Source organism: Homo sapiens, chromosome 2 (genome assembly GCF_000001405.40).
Source record: "Homo sapiens chromosome 2, GRCh38.p14 Primary Assembly".
Lineage (NCBI taxonomy): Eukaryota > Metazoa > Chordata > Mammalia > Primates > Hominidae > Homo > Homo sapiens.
In genome coordinates this window covers 159,698,366-159,720,426 of record NC_000002.12, presented here as the reverse complement: position 1 = coordinate 159,720,426, position 22,061 = coordinate 159,698,366, and the positions used below count along the sequence as shown (strand labels likewise).

At 40.1% G+C, this 22,061-nt stretch overlaps 2 protein-coding genes across 67 annotated transcripts in view, besides 5 other annotated features; one reads left to right on the top strand and one right to left on the bottom strand.

The window, feature by feature from the left end:
- MARCHF7 (membrane associated ring-CH-type finger 7) overlaps positions 1 to 7,921 on the bottom strand; it is a 58,522-nt gene extending 50,601 nt beyond the window's left edge. For 15 of the 52 annotated variants that reach the window (NR_164794.1, NR_164792.1, NR_164791.1 and 12 more), the window contains exon 1: positions 7,766 to 7,921. The gene's annotated coding sequence lies outside the window, so the exon portion shown is untranslated. Of the gene's footprint in view, positions 1 to 1,309; positions 1,418 to 4,660; positions 4,747 to 4,795; positions 4,895 to 5,828; positions 5,871 to 7,286; positions 7,378 to 7,642 lie in introns of those variants that run through there. The other 37 variants (NR_164793.1, NR_164790.1, NM_022826.4 and 34 more) reach the window with 16 other exon arrangements.
- Positions 7,323 to 7,442: a silencer, noted in NCBI's record as "silent region_12044". NCBI's record gives its function as "represses an Ori minimal core promoter by ATAC-STARR-seq in GM12878 lymphoblastoid cells {active_cell/tissue: GM12878}" and the evidence as "EXISTENCE:reporter gene assay evidence [ECO:0000049][PMID:35858748]".
- Positions 7,633 to 7,912: an enhancer, noted in NCBI's record as "active region_16687". NCBI's record gives its function as "activates an Ori minimal core promoter by ATAC-STARR-seq in GM12878 lymphoblastoid cells {active_cell/tissue: GM12878}" and the evidence as "EXISTENCE:reporter gene assay evidence [ECO:0000049][PMID:35858748]".
- Positions 7,633 to 8,472: a biological region, named in NCBI's record as "NANOG-H3K27ac-H3K4me1 hESC enhancer GRCh37_chr2:160568592-160569258".
- Positions 7,680 to 8,346: an enhancer, noted in NCBI's record as "NANOG-H3K27ac-H3K4me1 hESC enhancer chr2:160568592-160569258 (GRCh37/hg19 assembly coordinates)". NCBI's record gives its function as "activates a minimal SCP1, AML or CMV promoter by ChIP-STARR-seq in primed H9 embryonic stem cells {active_cell/tissue: H9 hESC(primed)}" and the evidence as "EXISTENCE:reporter gene assay evidence [ECO:0000049][PMID:30033119]".
- Positions 7,963 to 8,472: a silencer, noted in NCBI's record as "silent region_12043". NCBI's record gives its function as "represses an Ori minimal core promoter by ATAC-STARR-seq in GM12878 lymphoblastoid cells {active_cell/tissue: GM12878}" and the evidence as "EXISTENCE:reporter gene assay evidence [ECO:0000049][PMID:35858748]".
- BAZ2B (bromodomain adjacent to zinc finger domain 2B) overlaps positions 7,985 to 22,061 on the top strand; it is a 397,131-nt gene continuing 383,054 nt past the window's right edge. For all 15 annotated transcript variants that reach the window (NR_110586.2, XM_047444047.1, XM_047444046.1 and 12 more), the window contains exons 1-2: positions 7,985 to 8,113; positions 9,533 to 9,710. The gene's annotated coding sequence lies outside the window, so the exon portion shown is untranslated. The remainder of the gene's footprint in view (positions 8,114 to 9,532; positions 9,711 to 22,061) is intronic.

Genomic DNA, 22,061 nt, shown 5'->3' with positions numbered 1-22,061 from the left:
AATATACAATAGCCATAATATAAATACCACCATGAGGATGAGACACCCAAAATGGAAGACATTATGTAAGATAATTGGCCTAGACTCTTCAGAAATCCTCCATGGCTGGGTGCAGTGGCTCATGCCTGTAATCCCAGCACTTTGGGAGGCCAAGGCAGGAGGATCACGAGGTCATGAGTTCAAGACCAGGCTGGCCAACATGGTGAAACCCCATCTCTACTAAGAATACAAAAATTAGCGGGGCATGGTGTTGCGTTCCTGTAATCCTAGCTCCCTGGGAGGCTGAGGAAGGAGAATCGCTTGAATCCAGGAGGCGGAGGTTGCAGTGAGCCGAGATGGCACCACTGCACCCCAGCCTGGGCAACAGAGCAAGACTCCATCTTGGGGCTGGAGGGGGGAGGGCGGGACACTGCTCCAACATTCTTGGCCTCATACTAAGCACTAGGCAGCGGCAGTCCACTACTGGAATACTCTGAAGGTAAATAAAGCAATAATAAAGGTCATATCCATCTCGACTACAGACAAAACAAAGTCAACCCACCATACTAATGCCCCGACAGAAGAATATGCCCATATCAATGCATAAATATTGTTTATCTCAGTCTCTAATCTGTTCTGTTTTTAGTTTAGCATTTAGTCAAAACTTGTATGATACACAAAAATGCAAGGAAAAAAAATCACCCCATTACCAAGAGATAAAATGGCAGAACCAGACCAAGACATAGCCCCAATGTCAACAAACAAGCAAACTGATGGGTTTAACAATAGACTAGGTAAAATTGAAAAACTGGGGAAGGAGGAAATAAGCTAGAAAAAAATCCCCTCAAACTAAATTAGTATTAGGATCATTACGGGAAGAGACATGGCTCCAAGGATGAGGACCCAAAGTCGTGGAAATGGATAAAAGTCAGATTCAATACATACTTCAAGTCAGAAAGGATTTACCTAATAACTGGGAAGGGAGGCAATTATAATACTGATGAAGAACAAACATTTTACTGTTTTTCTTTCAGGGGATTGGGAGTGGGCGGGGTGGTGGTGGGGGGTGGTCAAGGAAGCACACCAAGATTAGTTGGTTTTGAAAAATGAGCTGTCTGGCTGGTTGTGGTGGCTTCCAGCACTTTGGGAGGCCAGGGCAGGATTGCTTGAGGCGAGGAGTTCAAGACCAGCCTGGGTAACATATTGACACCCCGTCTCTACAAAAAATATTTTTAAAAAAGAATAAGCAGACCAGCCTGGCCAACACGGTGAAACCTCGTCTTTACTAAAAATACAAAAAAAGATTTAGCCGGGCGGTAGTGGTGCACACCTGTAATCCCAGCTACTCGGAAACTGAGGTAGGAGAATTGCCTGAGCCTGGGGAGGTGAAGGTTGTGGTGAGCGGAGATCGCGCCACTGCATCAGAGTGAGACACTTTCTGAAAATAATAATAATAAGCAATTAGAAGTGCCCAGAAGGTCCAGGAGAACGCTGGAAATACAGTTTTGGAGAGCAGTGTGGCTGACGGTATATTTTTCAGTTACATACACTGATTTATTTACTGTTTTCCAGATACATATGCTACCTCCTTGCCTTCTACTTATACTGTACCTTCTATTTGGCACTCTTCCCACAAACTTATCTCTAGTAGAATTTGGGGTACTATGAAAAAGTAAATTGAAAAACTTCAGGCAGTTTAAGAGAACATTAGGAGGAAAGGAGTTCTACCAATTACCCTACTTATGATTAAAGCTTTCTCTGACCACAACCACAAGCTGCCTACCAGGTAGAGCTTGGATTTTTAGTTTATCAAATTTGGAAAGCTGTGAACTCCTAAAAGCAGTACAATGTCCAAAAGTTTTTCTCTGATTCTGCTTATGAAGGTTTTTCTCAAGTATTATGTATCCCCTTCCATTATGCTACGGATCACTGTGTCCCATTATTACAATAATGGCCTTGATCAGGTATCTGTCAAGAGTCACACAGTAGTCATAAAATAACCAGTCTAACAAAAATGCCTCAGCCCTATTAACACATGCTACCTCCCACACCTAAAAGTCTTTTCCTGTATGTTAATGTATTAATAAATATGTATTTAATATATTAATAAAATTCATTTCCTATTTTTTTCCAAAATAGAAAACTGAGGCTAGGCTAGGCAGGAAATAAGTCAATCTTTGCCTAATTTTTGCACATCAGCCAATTTCTATTTGTAGAAATACGCTAGCTGAGTGCAAGCTTCAAAGTCTGCCCCTCACTTGGTATGCTTGGGTATGACTCTAGGTATAATCTAATGCTTAATTTTCTCACCTACAAAATGGTGATAATGATAGTATCAACTTCACAGGTATATTGTGAGGTTTGCTGGCACACAGCATGTGTTCAGCAAATACTAGCTATTATTAACCAATACCATCAGCATGAAGGTTTTCATATAAACAGCTCAGTAGAAATTTTGTTGGCTTTTTCATTATTTGAAATTTGTCTTTAACACATAGTAAAACATCTTTCAAAGTCATTCAGATTTACATACAGGATATTCACTTCAGGGTAAAGAAACCTATACAAGATTACTTATATTAAGTATATGCATTAAACAACTGGAAAGAAATAGCCATTTTTATTATTTTGCTGTTATCTCGGGTGATGGTATTATTAATGTGTTTTTTCTTCTTTATACTTAGTTTTCAAAAAAATTCTTTAATGTACTTTGTTAATTGAGGGCAACAATTATTTGCCAGAGGAAAAGGCATTTTTAAAATAACTTGTATTACAGAAGTCCTAAGGAGAATAATTCCCTTTCTAATTTGCTGGTTTACAGCCTTAGTAGCTACTTACCACAAAAATAACTCTAGTAAAGACTAAGTGAAAGATAAAGTTAAAATACTTCACAAAATGAAGTTCAGATTACCTGAGTATGACTTAAAGTTTTTATCATGAAAAATTTTAAACATACACAAAGGTACAGCCAATAATGAGCTTCCATGTACCAATCAAGTCTTCAACTATTATCCACATTCAACCTCCCTAACCTATTTTACCACCCACTCTATTATTTTAAAGCAATCCCAAGCATGACATCTTTGAGGCTATCTATTCTTATAGTGGTCTAAAGAACCTATGGTAAATTACAAAATATGGCTACAAATGTCCCCCATCCTAGTATTAGCCCCCTTTGTAATGCAACGTTGCTGCACTGCCTAGGATGAGGCAGTCTTACTTCCCCACCCCAGTCTTGTGTGACTAAGAGAATGGACTGTGACACTGTAAGATTTTCAAGGTTGTAAGAGGTCTTACAAGCTTCTCTTAGAATACTGTCCCAAGATTCCTGTGTCATAAATGATCACAAAGAGTAAGGCCTATATGTCCACCAACACTAGCTGCCAAACATGAGTGATGCCATCTTGGATCTCCCAGCCAGGGAAATCCTCCAGCTGAATGCTGGTACATGAGGAGTAAGCCCCGGGCAAAATCAGTAGAACTGCCCAACAGGCACCTAGAACTGTAAAAAACAGTGAACAGTTGTTTTAATCCACTAGGTCCCGAGGTGGTTTGTTATGCAGCCATAGAACAAAGATTCATTACTTATCCTTATTTTCTACTGTTACCATACCATTATCTTATGCCTGCAGTCTCTGAAAACTCTGATTTTAACTGAGTCTAACCTGGGAACTATCTTAAATATCCAGGGAAGATTACAGGTACTGAATTACTAAAAGTACACCACTACTATAGGATAAACTCATGGCACAAAGGCCAGAGCAATCACACAAAATACCAATGTAATCTATCATTTTTTTTTTTGGAGACAGGGTCTCACTCTGCTGCCCAGGCCAGAGTGCAGTGGTGCAATCACTGCAGCCTCGACCTCCTGGGTTCAAGTGATCCTCCCACCTCAGCCTCCTGAGTAGCCTGGACTACAGGCACGCACCACCATACCCAGCTAATTGTTGTATTTTTTTTAGTAGAGACGGGGTTTCATCATGTTGCCCAGGATGGTCTTGAACTCCTGAGCTCAAGCAATCTGCCTGTCTCGGCCTCCCAAAGCGCTGGGATTACAGGAGTGAGCCACCATGCCCAGCCCCAATGCAATATTTCAAGAGTCTTGCAGAAATACAAACACGCAGTTACTATTTCATTATTTACATATACTTTGCATATCCTTTTCTTAAAAAAAAAAATCTGCTTCTGGGGAAATTTTTTTTTTCCTTAGTGGGAAATCATAGTAAACATGGAGACATGGAAGCTAAGGGTGGGTCAATGAGGGAATCACTTTGAAAGTATACAACATTTTGGGCCTTAAAAAAAAGTCTCCCTTAACTAACTTTTAGCTGACAAATACTTAAAACACAAAAATATGACATGCCCAAATCTTAAAAAATTAGAAAAAAGCTTAACATCCCATGAGAAAATATGACTATGATGTTAAGTCTACACTACACCACTGTAAAAGGCAAACTGTTCTCCTTGAAATGAATTTAATCTCTAAGCATCAAGTTTCGATCTTAAGTAGAAACCATTTTAGGGTTCTTTCTACAAAGTATGAAACATCACACTAATGAACAATGATCATAATGGAAAGATAACTACTTTTAAGGTTCAAAACTTGCCTTCTTTTTAAGCTGTTGACAAAAATGGGTGTAGAGCAGCAGGTGATTTTAAAACCAGGTGTTCAACTTACCTAGTCTAACCGGTAGAGTCAGAGAAATATATTTGAGGGCAGGAAAAACCAGCTCTGACCATGTAAGTTCATGCCAGGGCAGAAAGCTGAAAATTAAGATTAATGAAAATTAAACCCCAGCATGCAGTGACTCACACTCAGGCCTGTAATCACAGCGCTTTGGGAGGCTGAGGTGGGAGGATTCCTTGAGCTAAGGAGTTGGAGACCAGCCTGGGAAACATGGTGAAACTGTCTCTATAAAAAAATATAAAAATTAGTCAGACATGGTGGCGCGCACCTGTAGTCCCAGCTACCCAGGAAGCTGAGGTGGGAGAACTGCTTGAGTCTGGGAGACTGCGGCTGCAGCAGCCTAAAAAACAGAGTGAGACCCTGTCACACACTCACACACACAAAATTATTACCCCCCCCACCTAAACTCTCAAATTATAATTTCATTCTCCCCAACTTCAGACTTTTTGGCTCATCCTATGATTAGCAAATGCTGTATATTAAGATAAATTTTTTGACTGCAATTGAATTCTGCTTTGGTGAATTCAAGTAATCTTAGTAGGAACTCAAAATCCGATTCTTTTTAAATTGTAATCATTCTAATGTGATCAGTTGATTCACTTATTTAACAGTTAAAAGCTTCATTAGTTAATTTGTTGTTTAAAAGTAAAGTCTAATGCAACGCTGTGCATTTCATTCATTCATGTCCCATTGTTCTTTATTACTGGCACTTAATTATCTGTGGTAACAGAAGGATGTATCAGCAAAGATTATCTAAAAATTATTTTTATTTTGTTAAGGAACACAATAGCTCTCCATTCCGCAGCATAGAGCACTAACTTTATTTTTATTTTTTTAGAGACAGGGTCTCACTCTGTGGTGCAGGCTGGAGTGCAGTGGAGCTCTATCATACCTCACTGCAGTCTCTGCAACTCGTGAGCTCAAAATGATCGTTCTGCCTCAGCAGCCCAAGTAGCTAGTAGTAGCAGTGCGCACCACTACACCCGCACCACCATGCCCGTAGAGATGGGGTCTTTGTGGCCTGGCTGAACTCCCAGCCTTAAGCGATCCTCCCACCTTGGCCTCCCAAAGTGACGGGATTACAGGAGTGAGCCACCACACCCAGACACTAATTTTCTAGTACAGTACAGAAAGTCTTTTATGTCGGGCTCTAACTTACCATTCAATGTATGTTTCAGCTACAGGAACAAATCATGAATTCCTAAAACAAACCATAATATCATGACTTTGCAGTTTCTTTATCAAAGTCCTAGTGAGCCTTCACATCTTAGTTCAGGCAATAAATAAATAAATCCTGTAAAATTTCCAAGATTAAGCACCCCTCCCCTATGCTCCCACAGAACCACTGTACAGTCATATTAAGATAATAATAGTTGTTTATACATTAGTCTGATGACTAAACAGTGAGTTGTGGAGGGCAGATGCCATGTCAAGCTCATTCTTGTAATGTGAAGCTCTCCATAATTTGTAATTTGACTACAACAAATTACAAATTATCTAAAAAAGTTTTAAGATATTTGACAGATTTTGCATTATAAAATTATTTTCCTACAATAAAATGTCAAAATGTAGACGATTCTTGAACATAGAGCAGATAAAAGAGTTGTGTAAGGTGGGTATGGAGCGGACTAAAAATTGGCTACATGAGAGTCATGGATGACTTTTGTGTCCAAGTTCGTTACCTGACACCTTCATGTAGAACATAACCTGGGCATCCTCGTGCTTTATCTGGGAAAATAGCCCTCTTCCAGGTGGCAGAAAAAAGAAATCATTTGTACTTGAATAAGTAGGAATTCTTAATTCAAGACACCTGACCCAGCACTAAACTTGGAAAAAAACCAAGACTAGTATTATGTCCCCTAGTGACTGCTTCACACACCACCTCAGCAAATTTAATCCTCTCTAGAAATTAACTGCCATGTTTCTGAGACAATCTCGTGAACTTAAATAACTATGGCAAAAATCAAGACTCAAACCCAGGTCTTCTGAGTCTGGTGCTACTGCCTCATGCACCAGTCCTGTCTCCCAAAATGCTGTAGAGCTGTTAAATAAAAATATTATACTGACCTCATTTCTCAAACAAACTTTTTGCTACCTCAAGTAAAAGATCTAGTTACACTACATGTGTGCCTTCTTAATAACTGTATACTATTGGATTTTTAAATCGAAAATTCATCTTTAATCCTACATCTTGGTTCTGGACAGAAAGGTGGAGATTTAAAATAACATGTAATCAGAAAAATAGCTAATCAATCCTACAAAATGGGGGAGAAAACCTCGCCAAATTTCAGTTTTCACACATTTAACTAATAGTAACAAACAACATTAGTCGTGACGAATTTATTACCCAGATAGACTTTCCCAATATATTTACTTTGGTACTTGAGAAAAAGTATTAAGTGCAGCATTTTGGGGTGAGGGGGTGGACACACATCTTCAATACGCAGTTTCACCAAAATGAGGGAGTTTCCTACTCCCGGCGCCTTCTATATTTTTACTTCTTAGGCCAACAGGTCCATTTTTAATACAATCACCTACTTCGAGTTGCAGAACCCACAATTCACCACAACACAAAAATAACTCTCAGGGCGTCACGATATTCAAAAACTGACGTTACCAATAAGACAATCTTGGCCGAATCTAAGGGGCTACCGAAGTCACTTCGACTCGAGGCCGGGCTGGCCGAGCCGGAGCCCTGCCCGCCTTTGCCCCGCGCTCACCGGCGAGCTCACGCGCGACACCCGCGGCCCGCAGGGCTCCGAAGACCCCCCGCCCCACGGCCCAAGAGGAGGCCGCCCCGCGCCAAAGGAGGGCTCAGGCTTCTTCCCGTCACCCGCCACACGTCCCTGAGGAAGACACACAATCTGTCCCCTGCACCCGCCACAAACTCCACCACCCGACCAAAGGCCCCTGGCAAGGGAGGCCTGCGCTGTGGCCCCTTGGCCCCGGTGGCCCCGGACCAAGCTTCTCCACCTCATCCTGAGAGGAAGCGGCCTCCGCGTCCCCAGGCCTCTTCGTTTCCTCCCCTCCCCCACTCGCGGCCTGGTCCCGAACTAGCGCCCAAGACGGAGAAGAACTAGCTCCGCAGCTCATTACCCCGGCTCCTGAGCCGGCACCGACCAGTGCGCGTCCCACTCGCAGCAACACGCACCGCCGCCTTTCTCCTTGGAGTTCTAGGCCCGTGACTGAGGAAATGCAGTCGGCAGCGAAGCACAATGGCGCCCGCCCCTCTCCCGGATCCGGCGCAGAACCAGCCACCACCGTTAAGTGCCCCTCCCTGCTCCTCCTCCCCCCACTTCGCGGACTTCCTGGCTTCTCGCGAGAGTGGCGGCGCGGCGGGGACCGAGAGCTGCGGGCGGGCTGGAGGTACCCCACCGCGGGGTGGTGCTCTGACTGCGGGAACCGTTGAAGAGCTGCCCCCGGGGAGTCAGCGAGGCGCCACTGGTAAGCGGCAGCGGCTGGCTGGCCGGCGTGCCGGCAGCTGGGCTGGCGAGTGTGCGGGCGCCGGGCGCTGGAGGCCCGGGCCGGGGCGGTCCCCGCCCGTCTATAGTCTCTGAGCCAGCCCCTTCCCTCCCGGGCGCCGGGTCCCCGCCCACAGGCCCACCTGCAGGGCCCCGTGCTCGAAATAACGCCCAGCTGGTTGGCTTTTTTTTTTTTTTTTTTTCTTTTTCTGGCTCTTGGTAAGTGGCGCAGTGAATGTTGAATTGAATCAAGCACTGCCTTTTCCGACCTACCCCTCCCCGCTTGCTTCCCTGCCCGCCCTGTGTGATCTAACTGCAAGCCCTTTCCCTTAAGAGTTGGAGCCTGTTTGTCCAACCTTGTGATCATTTCCTTGTGGTAAGAATCTTGGTAAATGATGGTGATCATGTCTTTTAAAATCGTGATAGTAACCTTTAATAGCGTAGCCATCGATTTTGCAGTAAACAAATTCACCTATTTAGAAAGAGGGAGGAAAATTGTGAGGTGAATGGTCTGGTGAATATTAGATGAAACTTTCAAAGAACTGTAAATGTGGCAAACTAAGATGTAAATGAGTACTAATAAATAAAAGGGAGTAGGTTAGGGAAAAGCTACATCTAACTATGTGTAAATATTTAGATGATATGTTGATTTGGAATAATGAATCAAAAGTTTTTTAATGGAAAAGATCAGTTATTGAAACTTGGAAGAATACTGAAAGGCACTTGATTTTTTTTAATGACCTATTTTGTTAAGGTATTAAAAGCAATCCTTTGGATCCAAATAATTCCAATAAATGAAACACAGTGTTTCTACGTGTTTGTCATTACATCGGAAGGGAATGGAGTATCAGTCACTATCATCCTTATTTTATTGTCTTGGGGACTAACAGACTGTACATGTTTCACTATGATAAATTCTAAAATACTATAAATTTTAAAGACTTAAAGGTATTTTAAGTTGGCATGTAAGTGCCAATCTAACTTTTAGGATATGAAATGAAAATAAGCATCTGGTATGGGATAAAGTGAACAGAGATTACTTTTGAGGAAATTAATTTGCCCTTTAAAGAAAAATAATTCTTTTCCAGCCTGTTCGAGTGCCCCTGCAGCATTGTGGTTATAGATACACGGATGTATACACCCTGAAGAACCAGACTATATGGCTTCAAATTCCACCCCTGCCTCTTACTACCTTTGTTATCTCAAGCAATTCCTTAACCTTGCTAAACCTAGGTTTCCTGTAAAACGGGGTTAATAACAGTACCCATGCTCTGTAGCATTGTTTAGATGAGATAACACGTCAGTTCCTGAAACAAGTAAGCATTCCGTAATTGTTAGCTATTACATTCCATGTCTAAACCACCAATAATATTGTTTCTTTCTGTGACTTAATATTACATAGGTCTCTTAGACATCTTCTCAAGATTATGCTAAGAGAAATGACTGCACCCTTTTCCTGAGCTATGGCAGTCAGACCTGGCAGTGGTAACTACTCTACAGAACTCCCAAACCTGGCAAGGATGGTGCAGATTTTGGCAGATTATGGCTTTGTCCCCACCCAGCACTGATGATATTATAAAGTGAGTATGACACCAATTTCCTATGCTAAACAGAGCTTCTAGTTTTTTATTGGTGCTAGTAAATAAAGACCACTGATGAATATGTTTTTATTATTTAAGAATGGTTCGTTGTGTTTCTTTTTAATGTACTCTCTCTGATTTTAGTATTCAGGTAATTATCATGAGTGATAAATAATTATTGAGATTTTGCTATGCTGCAGACATTTTGCAGCCGGGCGCCGTGGCTCATGCCTGTAATCCCAGCACTTTGGGAGGCCAAGGTGGGTGGATCACGAGGTCAGGAGATCGAGACCATCCTGGCTAACACAGTGAAACCCTGTCTCTACTAAAAGTACAAAAAATTAGCCGGGCGTGGTGGCAGGCGCCTGTAGTCCCTGCTACTTGGGAGGCTGAGGCAGAAGAATCACTTGAACCCAGGAGGCAGAAGTTGCAGTGAGCCAAGATCATGCCACTGCACTCCAGCCTGGGCAACAGAGTGAAACTCCATCTCAAAAAAAAAAAAAAGACATTTTGCTAGGAATTATGGATGTGAATAGGTAAAACATGGTCATGGAAAATGACCATAGTTTCTTAACTAAAAATCGTCACAAAGTGATTTGACAGGCAAGTGTTTGAAGTCAAAACTGTTCCAGACAATCTAGACACCGTGCTTGCCTTTTATCCACAGAGTTCCCCCACTTGACCTTCCCTTGCTACTTTTTATCCTTTATGAGTGACTCTGACATACCTTTCTGTATCTAAATATCTTTGTTCACCACTTGCCCTCACCACTCACCTTAGTTTTCATTTTTAAACTTGGCTTCTTCTCTAAGTTAGCATCTTATTGACTATTAACCAATTTTCCCCCTTTTATTTTATAAACTTGTCTGTTATTTACCCATGGTCATTCAACCCTTTACTCTTATGTTTTGAGCATTTCTTCCACCTGATAGCTTAGAATGCTCTTTCAGATATTGAATTTCAAAGTTCTTGTTTTCCCCTCTTTTATTCATCCCACAACCTAATCTTCTAAAAAGCTTCTCTTTGGCAAGGGTAGTTGTAGAGATATCCTTTACTTTGCATAAATGGTGGGACATTGAAAAGATGTGGTTACATTTGCTTTTTGCAAATCATATAATTTTTTATTGATACATAATATTTGTATATATTTATGGGATACATGGGATATTTTGTTACATACATAGAATGTGTAATGATCAAGTCAAGGTATTTAGGATAACCATCATCTAGAACATTTATGACTTCTGTGTGGGTAGTATTTCAAGTCTTCCCTTCTAGCTATTTTGAAATAATGCAATATGATGTTAACTATAGTCATTCTACTCTATTATCAAACATTAGAACTTACTCCTTTTATCCAACTTTATATTTGTACCCATTAACCATCCTCTTTTTGTCCCCACCCCCACCACACACATACTCTTCCCAGCCTCTGATAACTATCATTCTACTGTCTACCTGATTGAGAACAATTTTTTCAGGTGATCTGCCTGCCTCGGCCTCCCAGTGTGCTGGGATTACAGGCGTTAGCCACCGCGCCTGGCCAAGGATCCCTGCTTCTTTTTTTTTTTCTTTTTTTATCCAGCCCAAAATGTCATGAGGACTCCTACTTCTAAGGGATATATTACTTAAAGGTCCATTGTTCTAAGTCTTTGATGTAAGGGATTCCTTTCATAACAAAAATAATAAACTCTCGATTTAGTGCCTTTATAAATTTTTATTTTCCCCACATCAAGTTTTATTTAAAGTTGCCATATTTAGTAAATGAACATCCAAAAAATTCTGTTGGTTGACTTCTACTGGATTAGCATCAAAAACTTTCAATTCCCCAAGCCAGTATTTAAAAGGATATAGAGGCCAGATGTAGTTGCTCAAGCCTATAATCCCAGGACTTTGAGAGGCTGAGTCAGGAGGATGCTTGAGACCAGCGTGGGCAACAAAGCAAGGCCCCATCTATACAAAAAAATTTTAAAAATTAGCCCTGTGCATTGGTGCATGCCTATAATCCCAGCTACTTGGGAGGCTGAGGCAGGAGGATTGCTTGAGCCCAGGAGGTTGAGGCTTGCAGTGAGCGGGGATCATGCCACTGCATTCAGGCCTGGGTGACAGACCCTATCTCAAAATAAATAAATAAAGAAATAAATAAATAAATAAATAAATAAATAAATAAAAGGTTATTAAAACACGTAAAGAGAATACCATCTTGAAACCCTGTCTGAGAAACCTCTCTTACATCTAAGCTTACAGGCTAGATCTCACTGCTTCTAGAAAGATCATTCCTGCTTTTAGTTGCTCTAGAATATCTGGCCTCACCAGGAATAATCCCCAATTTGTGGAACACTTGGAATTCAAACCTTGCACACTGCCTGAAATATATAGAATGCTTAAGAAAAGCAGATACATTTTATTCATGTTTTTAAGTACATGAGGCCTCATTCCATCTCCCAGGCTGGAGTACCCGGCGGTACCATCATAGCTCACTGGAGCCTCAAGCTTCTAGGCTAAAGCTGTCCTCCTGCCTCAGCCTCCTGTGTGGCTGTGACTACAGGTGTGCCACCACAGTGTGGGGCTAGTTGTTTTTAAATTTTTTGCTGCCCAGGCTGGTCCCAAACTCCAAGCCTCAAGTGATCCTCCCTCCCCGGCCTCCCAAAGTACTGGAATTACAGGCATCAGCTACCACATCCAGTTAACAGCTATATTTTATTTTTTTTATTTATTTATTTTGGAGACAGAGTCTCACTCTTGTCTCCCAGGCTGGAATGCAGTGGCTCAGTCTCGGCTCACTGCAACCTCCACCTCCCAGGTTCAAGTGATTCTTCTGCCTCAGCCTCCCGAGTAGCTCGGATTACAGGTGCCTGCCACCACTCCCGGCTAATTTTTTCTTTTTTTTGAGATGGAGTCTTGCTCTGTCGCCCAGGCTGGAGTGCAATAGTGTGATCTCCGCTAACTGCAACCTCCGCCTCCCAGGTTCAAGCGATTCTCCTTCCTCAGCCTCCTGAGTAGCTGGGATTACAGGCATGCACCACAATGCCTGGCTAATTTTTGTAATTTTTAGTAGAGATGGAGTTTTATCATGTTATTCAGGCCGGTCTTGAACTCCTGACCTTGTGATCCACCCGCCTCAGCCTCCCAAAGTGCTGGGATTACAGGTGTGAGCCACCACGCCCAGCCCCAATTTTTCTATTTTTAGTAGAGATGGGGTTTCACCATGTTGGCCAGGCTGCTCTCAAACTCCTGACCTAAGGTGATCCTCCCACCTTGGCCTCCCAGAGTGCTGGGATTACAGGCACCAGGCCAACAGCTATATTTTATTATTATAATTATTTTTTTAATAGAGATGAGTTCTCAGTATGTTGCTCAGGGTGGCCTTGAACTCCTGGCCTCCCAGACCCTCCTGCCTTGGCCTCCCAAAGTGCTGTGATTATAGGTGCGATCCACGATGCCCAGCCCTATTTTTTATTATTGATAAAACTAGGAGTTGGAAAACTGTGGTACATGGGCCAAATGTAGCCCACTACCTGTTATTTTACATAATTTAGATTTAATTATATATTTAATTTAAATATGTAATTTAGATTGTGTATTGTCTATTGTTGTGCATTATATATTAGGGTTCTCCAGAGAAACAGAACCAGTAGTATACAATACATTATCTGTCTGTGAATATTTATTTTAAGGAATTAGCTCACGTAATTGTGGAAGCTGATAAGTTTGAAATTTGTAGGGCTGGAAACTAAGACCAGAGTTGATGCTGCATTCTTAAGGCAGAATTTCTTTTCTAGGAAACTTCAGTTTTTGCTCTTAAGGCTGACAGGATGAGGCCCATCAACATTATCAAGAGTAATCTCTTTAAAGTCAACAGATTGTAGATATTAACCACTTCTACAAAATACCTTCACAGCAGCCCAGATTAGTGCTACTTACGTAACTGGGTACTCTGGCCTTGCCAAGCTGTCGTATAAAATTAACCATCACAGTTTAACTGCTTTCACCCTACAATGAGAACAGTTTAGTAGTTGTGACAGAGATGGTATGACTTAGAAATCCTAAAATATTTAGTACAGGAAGTTTGCTGACCTCTGGAGTAAACCATAAAACCAAATTGAACTAGCAATCATTGTTCCTGTAATAGAGTTCAGCCAAGTGTGCACATGCGCACGCGTGCGTGCACAAACACACACGCACACACACGGAGGCACACACGAACTTCAGAATTATAATAATCGAGGACCATGCTTGGCCTCCATGACCATTTCAGACTACATTTTTTTTGAGATTGGAAGCAGAAGGGGATAAAGATATAAATTCCTTGAGCATTCCTTCTGCCAAGTTAGGCAGCATCCTGTTTTATCTTAAATTTTTTTTCGTGTCCACATTTGTGTACAATTTTATAAAAAGCTGTGTATGTGATTGTATCATACCTACTATTTTAGTGTAGTCCTTCTCTTTTCCGTTTTTCGCCTTTTCCTTGCCTTTTTCTTTTCCTTCTTAATTTGGCTCTTCTGCCTCTGTCTGCTACTCCACAAACATCCTTTGCAGCTCATGTTGACCAACTACTGTGTATCCTCCCACCTTACTTTCTGCATGGTCACACAATCATAAAAGAGTGTGTGTGTTTGTGTGTGTGTGTGTTATATATGTTTACAGAAATACTGGTATTGATGGAGTTTTTTTAACCATTTAATTTATAAAATGAAATCAAATTTAAGCATGCATCTTCATCTAACTTTTTTCATTCTATAGTACCTTTTCTCTAAATCCCTATTGATGTTTAGTTGTTTAGCCTTTGCTTTTGGTTTGTAATAGATATTATCACTCTGCTGCTTTCACAGTGTTTTTTTCATTTCTATTGATTTTACATGTAGTATTTTTTGCCATAGATAGGTTTAGATGGTAAAATGTGTCAATGATTTCTTTAACAAGTTCTAGGTTTCCAGTTTAGCTTAAAAAATCTTACTTATCCTTTGATATTATCAGGCAGTATCCTACATTTTCCAGGTTGTGCTTAATTATTCTCAATTGATCTCTTACATCTTAAAAAATTTATCATTTTTGTATATGGAATAAGATAATAGGATCTAATTTTTTTGTCTTCTCAATAGATAGCCAGGTGTGCCAGTAGCATTCTAATTCTGTAATTAGAAAGACCAATTCTGTAATTAGAAAGGCTAATTCTGTAATTAGAAAGACCACCTTTGTTATATATTGAATTTTTAAATTTATGCTGAATATATTTCTGGGTTTTCTATTCTGAAAACTAAACTATTCAGAACTATAAATGTTAAACTATTCAGAAAACAAAATATTGCTTACCTATCTTTTGAATCTTTCTCATTTATTATTACTGTTATGTTTTTCTGTCACCTACTTGTTCAGTTATAAGAAGTGGTAACTACACTGGGCGTGGTGGCTCACACCTGTAATCCCAGCACTTTGAGAGGCTGAGGTGGGCAGACTACTTGAACCTAGGAGTTTGAGACCAGCCTGGGCAACATAGTGAGACCCCATCTCTACAAAAAAATACAAAAATTAGCCAGATGTTATGGCACACACCTGTAGTCAAAGCTACTTAGGGGGCTTAGGCAGGAGAATTGCTTGAGCTGAGGAGGCAGAGGTTTCTGTGAGCTGAGATTGCGCCACTGCACTCCAGCCTGGCATCCTGGGCAACAGAGCAAGACCCTGTCTCCAAAAAAAAAAAACAAACCAAAAAAGGCCAGACGAGGCTGGGCGTGGTGGCTCGTAATCCCATCACTTTGGGAGGCCGAACTGGGCGGATCACGAGGTCAGGAGATCAAGACCATTCTGGCTAACACGGTGAAACCTCGTCTCTATTAAAAATACAAAAAATTAGCCGGGCGTGGTGGTGGGCACCTGTAGTCCCAGCTACTTGGGAGGCTGAGGCAGGAGAATGGCGAGAACTCAAAAAACAAAAAAAACCCAAATGCGGTGGCTCACGCCTCTAATCCTAACACTTTGGGAAGCCGAGGCGGGTGGACCACCTGAATTCAGGAGTTTGAGACCAGTCTGGCCAACATAGTGAAGCCCATCTCTACTAAAAATACAAAAATTAGATGGGCATGGTGGTGCACACCTGTAATCTCAGCTACTCAGGAGGCTGAGGCAGGAGAATCACTTGAACCCGGGAGGTGGAGGTCGCAGTGAGCTGAGATTGCACCATTGCACTCCAGCCTGGGCAACAAGAGCGAAACTCCGTCTCAAAAAAAAAAAAAAAAAGAAAAAGAAAGATAGAGAGGGAGGGAGGGAGGGAGGAAGGAAGGAAATGGTAACTCTGTGTCCTCCAGAATCACCCAATATACCTAACTGATTTTGCATTATGCAGTGCATGTTATACTACCAACATGCCTGGGAATGATGTTAACTTATTTTTTCCACTATTCCTGTTTCACTTTCTTAGCAGTTGGATAAAGCCATTGAATACATATACTCCAGTTATTTAAAAACACCTCATCTGTACTTTTGTATATCATAATAATACTTTAAAAGCTATATACATATGACATATGTACTGCTTAACTAGTTTCTCAAATAACCGTATTTTTTATCCCAGAGTCCATTCTAAGTTTCTTACCATGGAGCTTCAGTGCTCTTGACAGCAAGCATGCCATTTATACCAAGGACAGTATAGAAGAAATCCTTCATATTTTTCTATTACATCATCATAAAATGGTATGGGAATGGTAACACACTTAAAATATTTATCTTATATTTATGTAAGTCTTAACTTTAGCATGGCACATAAGCATGTTGGTGGAAGTGGTTGATTGTTGTAGTTTGAATATTGTTATCTTTGAAGCTGAGACCTCTGTACTTTTCAAAAAAAAATTTTTTTTTGAGACAGGGTCTTGTTCTGTTGACCAGGCTGGAGTACAGTGGCACGATCACTGCTTACTCTAGCCTTGACCTCCTGGGCTCAAGAGATCCTATCACCTCAGCCTTCCAAGTAGCTGGGATTACTGGCTGACTTTTGTATTTTCTATAGTGACAGGGTTTCGCTATGTTGCCAAGGCTGGTCTTGACCTCCTGGGCTCAAGCAATCTGCTCACCTCAGCCTTCCAAAGTGCTGGGATTACAGGCGCAGGCCACCATGCCTGGCCCAAAATTGAATTTTAATTCAGTTTTTAAAGGATATTTAACTCAGCGCTTTTTTTGTTTGTTTGCATAGGATTAATTTTGACTACATTTGTGGGAAAGCTTTTTTTTTGCGGGGGGTAGAAGTGATTATTTCATTGTTTTAAAGTCCATTTATTAAGGTATTTTTTAAGCTTATGTTTATCACAAATAGTTACTTAAATGGAAAGCCTTGGCTGGGCGCAGTCGCTCACTCCTATAATCCCAGCATGTTGGGAGGCTGAGGTGGGCAGATTACCTGAGGTCAGGAGTTCAAGACCAGCCTGGCCAACGTGGTAAAATCCTATCTCTACTAAAAAAAAAATAACAAAAATTAGCTGGGTGTGGTGGCAGGAGCCTATAATCCAAGCTACTTGGAAAGCTGAGGCAGGGAGAATTGCTTGAATCCAGGAGGCAGAGGTTGTAGTAAGTAGAGATTGCACCACTGCACTCCAGCCTGAGCAACAGAGCAAGACTCCATCTCAAAAAAAGAAAGAAAGTTTTTGTTTTTGTTTTTGTTTTGTTTGTTTTTGTTTGTTTGTTTTGAGACGGAGTCTTGCTCTGTAGCCCAGGCTGGAGTGCAGTGGTGCAATCTCGGCTCACTGCAAGCTCCACCTCCTGGGTTCATGGCATTCTCCTGCCTCAGCCTCCCTCCCGAGTAGCTGGGACTACAGGTGCCTGCCACCACGCCCAGCTAATTTTTTGTATTTTTAGTAGAGACTGGGTTTCACTCTGTTAGCCAGGATGGTCTCGATCTCCTGACCTCATGATCCGCCCGCCTCGGCGTCCCAAAGTGCTGGGATTGCAGGTGTGAGCCACCGCGCCTGGCCAAAAGAAAGTTTTAAACATGTTTTTGCGTATTGGGGGTCCTATGATAGGAATGAAAATGTGAAAAACAATTTTAATGAATATTTGATTTCCTTGTAAGCCCTTTAACAGTTTTATAAACATAATGATATGACTGTTTTGCATTAGGCTTCACTTTCTTGTGTTAATAACCAAATGCTTTCCAGATCCATCTATTTTGTTATTACTGATAATAATACAAATTAGAGGACTACTAAAATAAAAATTTTTTTGTAAAGTTGTATGTCAAGACTTTAATGGGATGTATTAAGAATGAGTCATTAATTAAATAGTAGCATTAAAAATTAATTGGGCAGATGAAAATTTGTCTTTATAAAGTCTGGGCAAAGAGTTTTTAAGTTAAATTTTAATAATTCTTGATAATATCCAGAAATAAAAACTGCTAGTGTTTACTCTTGTCTGTGCTTAGAAGAAAGCTACATAGACATGATTAGCATTAATTCTGATTAAAAGAAAGAATGTATAGAAATAATTAAAAATATAACACTTTGCTTTTTAACCGACCAAAATGGGAGAAAAACAATTCTTAGACATTGAATAGAAGCTTTTACATCTTGCTTAGAAGATTTTTGGTTTTTGTTAGCAGAACCAAATGTAGAATTTAATCTTTGTCAGAACAAAATTGGCACAGATATGTAGTGAAAAAAATCTACACAAATTAAGGTAGGTGTGGATATAAAATATATTTAAGAATGGCCTGGCGCAGTGGTTCATGTCTATAATCCCAGCACTTTGGGAGGCTGAGACGGGCAATCACCTGAGGTCAGGAGTTCGAGACCAGCCTAGCCAACATGGTGAAACCCTTTCTCTACTAAAAATACAAAAATTAGCTGGGTGTGGTGATGTGCGCCTGTAGTCCTACCTGCTCAGGAGGCTAAGGCAGGAGAATCACTGGAACCTGGGAGGTGGAGGTTGCAGTGAGCCAAGATCATGCCACTGCACTCCATCCTGGGTGACAGAGTGAGACTCTGTTTCAAAATATATATATAATATGTAATATATTATAAAATATATTGTATTATAAAAGTATAATATAATACAATATAAAATATAAAATATGTATTATAAAAATATATATTATATATACATATATAATTTAAGAAGAATAAAATATGAAGTCAAATTTTAAAACTACAAATACAACTATTAAAAAATACATTGTACATTTTTAATTAGTTGTAACAGAACATTTCCCTCTTTTCCCTGAATTTTTTTAAAGTTTGAATTTAGCATCCATCAATCCATACAGATGAGTAAGTTACCTGTATCTAAAAAAAAGGAATGATACAGATCCTCAATGCTTAAGAATGAGACTATATACTCCTATTAAAAATCAAGAAATACATTAGAGTGGCCTTCATTATTATTTACAGAAATTAATGAGAAGAAAAATAAAAAAAGAACAGATTCTGTTTGTGTCTATAACTAAATTAACTTTGTTTTAAAATTCTCACTTGAAATTGTATGTATAAATTGTATTTTACAATAAATGTGTCTTCTAGCTTGGTGGTTTGTGACTCAGACACTAGAGACATTGAGGTTTCATTTATAGAATATATTAAAACTTTTTTATTTCCATTGATTAGAAATACATTTTATTCTGTAGTTTTTATGAGAGACCAAGCATTCTTCTATTTAGTATAGTAAAACGAAGTTTTGTAATATTTTTCTTTAATGAAAAATGTGTTTGCCAATTAAATTTGCTCTAATGTTAAGCATGATTAAATCACATATTTAATCTGTGTAACAACTAGGAATTTAATATAAATTTTATTTGAACATCTTTCTCTAATAAAAATTAGACATCACTTTATGAAATTGAGAAATTGTTTGTCTTACCAATTAGTGTAAAAAGATTCTGCTAAATGGAACTTAAGTTAGATAGAATTCATCTGCATGTCCCACATCTTTGGATTCAACCAACCACATATCAAAAAATATTCAAGGAAAAAAAAACAATAAGAAACAACAATACAGGGCAGGACGAGGTGGCTCACGCCTGTAATCCCAACACTTTGGGAGGCTGAAGCGGGCAGATCACGAGGTCAGGAGTTCGAGACCAGCCTGGCCAATATGGTGAAACCCTGTCTCTACAAAAAAATACAAAAATTAGCCAGGCGTGGTGGCACGCACCTGTAGTCCCAGCTACTCGAGAGGCTGAGGCAGAAGAATCACTGGAACCCGGGAGGCGGAGGTTGCAGTGAGCCGAGATCGCACCACTGCACTCCTGCCTGGGCGATAGGGACAAAACTCTGTCTCAAAAACAAACAAACAAACAAAAGAATACAATTATAAAATATAATACAAATTAAGAAACAGTATAACAACTTTTACATAGCATTTACATTGTTTTAGATATTATAAGTAACCTAGAGATGATTTAAAGTATACAGGAGGATTATGTAGATCATATGCAAATAGTACACCTTTTTATATAGGGCACTTGAGCATTCATAGATTTTGATATCCGCTGGAGGTTGTGGAACTAATTCCTCCCTATAATAAGGGACAACTGTAATTGTTTTGTAAATTCTAAGTCTGCTATTAAATTCTAAGTCTGCCATTAGTGAAGTTCTATGGTCTGAATGTCCTCCAAAATTCATGAATAGTATTATAATACTACCAATGTGATAGTTAAGAGCTGGAGCACTTGTGAGGTGATTAAGTCATAAGGGCAGAGCCTTCATGGATGGGATTAGGGCCCTTGAAAAAGGGCTTGAGGGGAGTGGGTTCACTGTCTTCTTTTCTGTCATGTTAAGAGACAACATTCCTCCTCTCTAGAGGAAGCAGCAACAAAGTGCCATCTTGAAAGCAGAGAGTAGCTCTCACCAGATACCAGTCCAGCTGGCATCTTGATGTTGGAGTTCCCAGACTCCAGAACATGGCAGATAAGCAGCATAGATAAAGTTCTAGGAGTTGTGAGTTGATAAAATTCCTTGTAATTAAGAGTGAATAAAATATATTGTAGGTTTTGTGGATGTGGCTTTACAACTGGGCCCAGAAAAGGGTAGGATTCAGATGGGTAGAAAGAAGTAAGAAGCAACATTAGGAGTGACTGATTAATCAAAGTGCTGAGGCAAAATATTGAACAGCATTTTTCCACTGATTTATTGTAAGCTCTATGAAGAATAAACTTTGAAAAATCAGTTTGTTTCTAACCCCAGCTCTTTTTTTTTGTCCTCTAAGAGACAGGGTCTTGCTCTGTCACCTAGGCTGGAGTGCAGTGGTGTGATCAGAGTTCACTGCAACCTCAAACTCCTGGGCTCAAGTGATCCTCCTGACTCAGCTTCCAAAGTACCTAGGACTACAGGCCTGCACCACCACACTCAGCTCATTTTTTTAAAAAAGGTGGGGTCTCACTGTGTTGCCCAGGCTTGTCTCAAACTCCTGGCCTAAAGCAATCCTCTCATCTTGGCCTCCCTAAGTGTTGGGATTATAAGCTTGAGCCACTGTGCCTGACCCTGGAGCTTTTTAATAATAGTGTTGATGTGCTTGGAGCAACCTAAGTATTGATTTTCTATACAATCCAAAAACTTCCAAGGAAAGTGTATCACAGTTTTACAAGGGAGATTGTATGTTATCAGCCCCACTGAGGATACTGGGTGTGTCTGCTACCACCCTATATTCCTTGCTCCGTTACCACATGCTACTTCTGGTATCCAGGATTACCAGAAGACAATCCTTGCAAGCTATAGGCACTCAATAAATGTTGAAATAATGAGCAGACACGTTGCTTTGGTTTTTTGTGTTTTAAATTGCTTAAAGAAGTTAAGTAGTAATTATCTGGTAGCAGTGCATATGTACTAATATGTTTTAGACAGAGTAAATATTGTCTTCTTGCTAAAGAAAATCTTCAGTTCAAGTTACTATTCAATTATGTAAGAAATATTTATAACTATTAGAAATTTTAAAATTATTATTGCTTTGGATAAAATTATAAAATGAATAGTCAGATTTTTAACTCCTAAGAAGTATTGAGAAAGAAAGCATTGATTTAGGGGATTATTAAAGTCAGCTCACTATTTTATAAAAATGTGATGAGAAGGGCTAAACATTCTTAATATATGAAGTAGCAGTAGTCCATATTAAAATATTTTTATATTGAGGAGAAAAAGTAGGCAGTTTTCAATACTATATAATATATAGTACTTACTAGAAAGGGCTAAACATTCTCTTTTTCTTTGTTTTTTTTGTTTTTTTTTTTTTGTGGGATGGTGGGGGACACGGTCTTGCTCTGTTGCCTAGGCTGGAGTGCAGTGGTGCAGTCACAGCTCACTGCAGCCTCAAACTCCTGGGCTCAAGTCATCTGAGTAGCTGGGACCATAGGTGCACGCTACCATGCCCAGCTAATTTTTT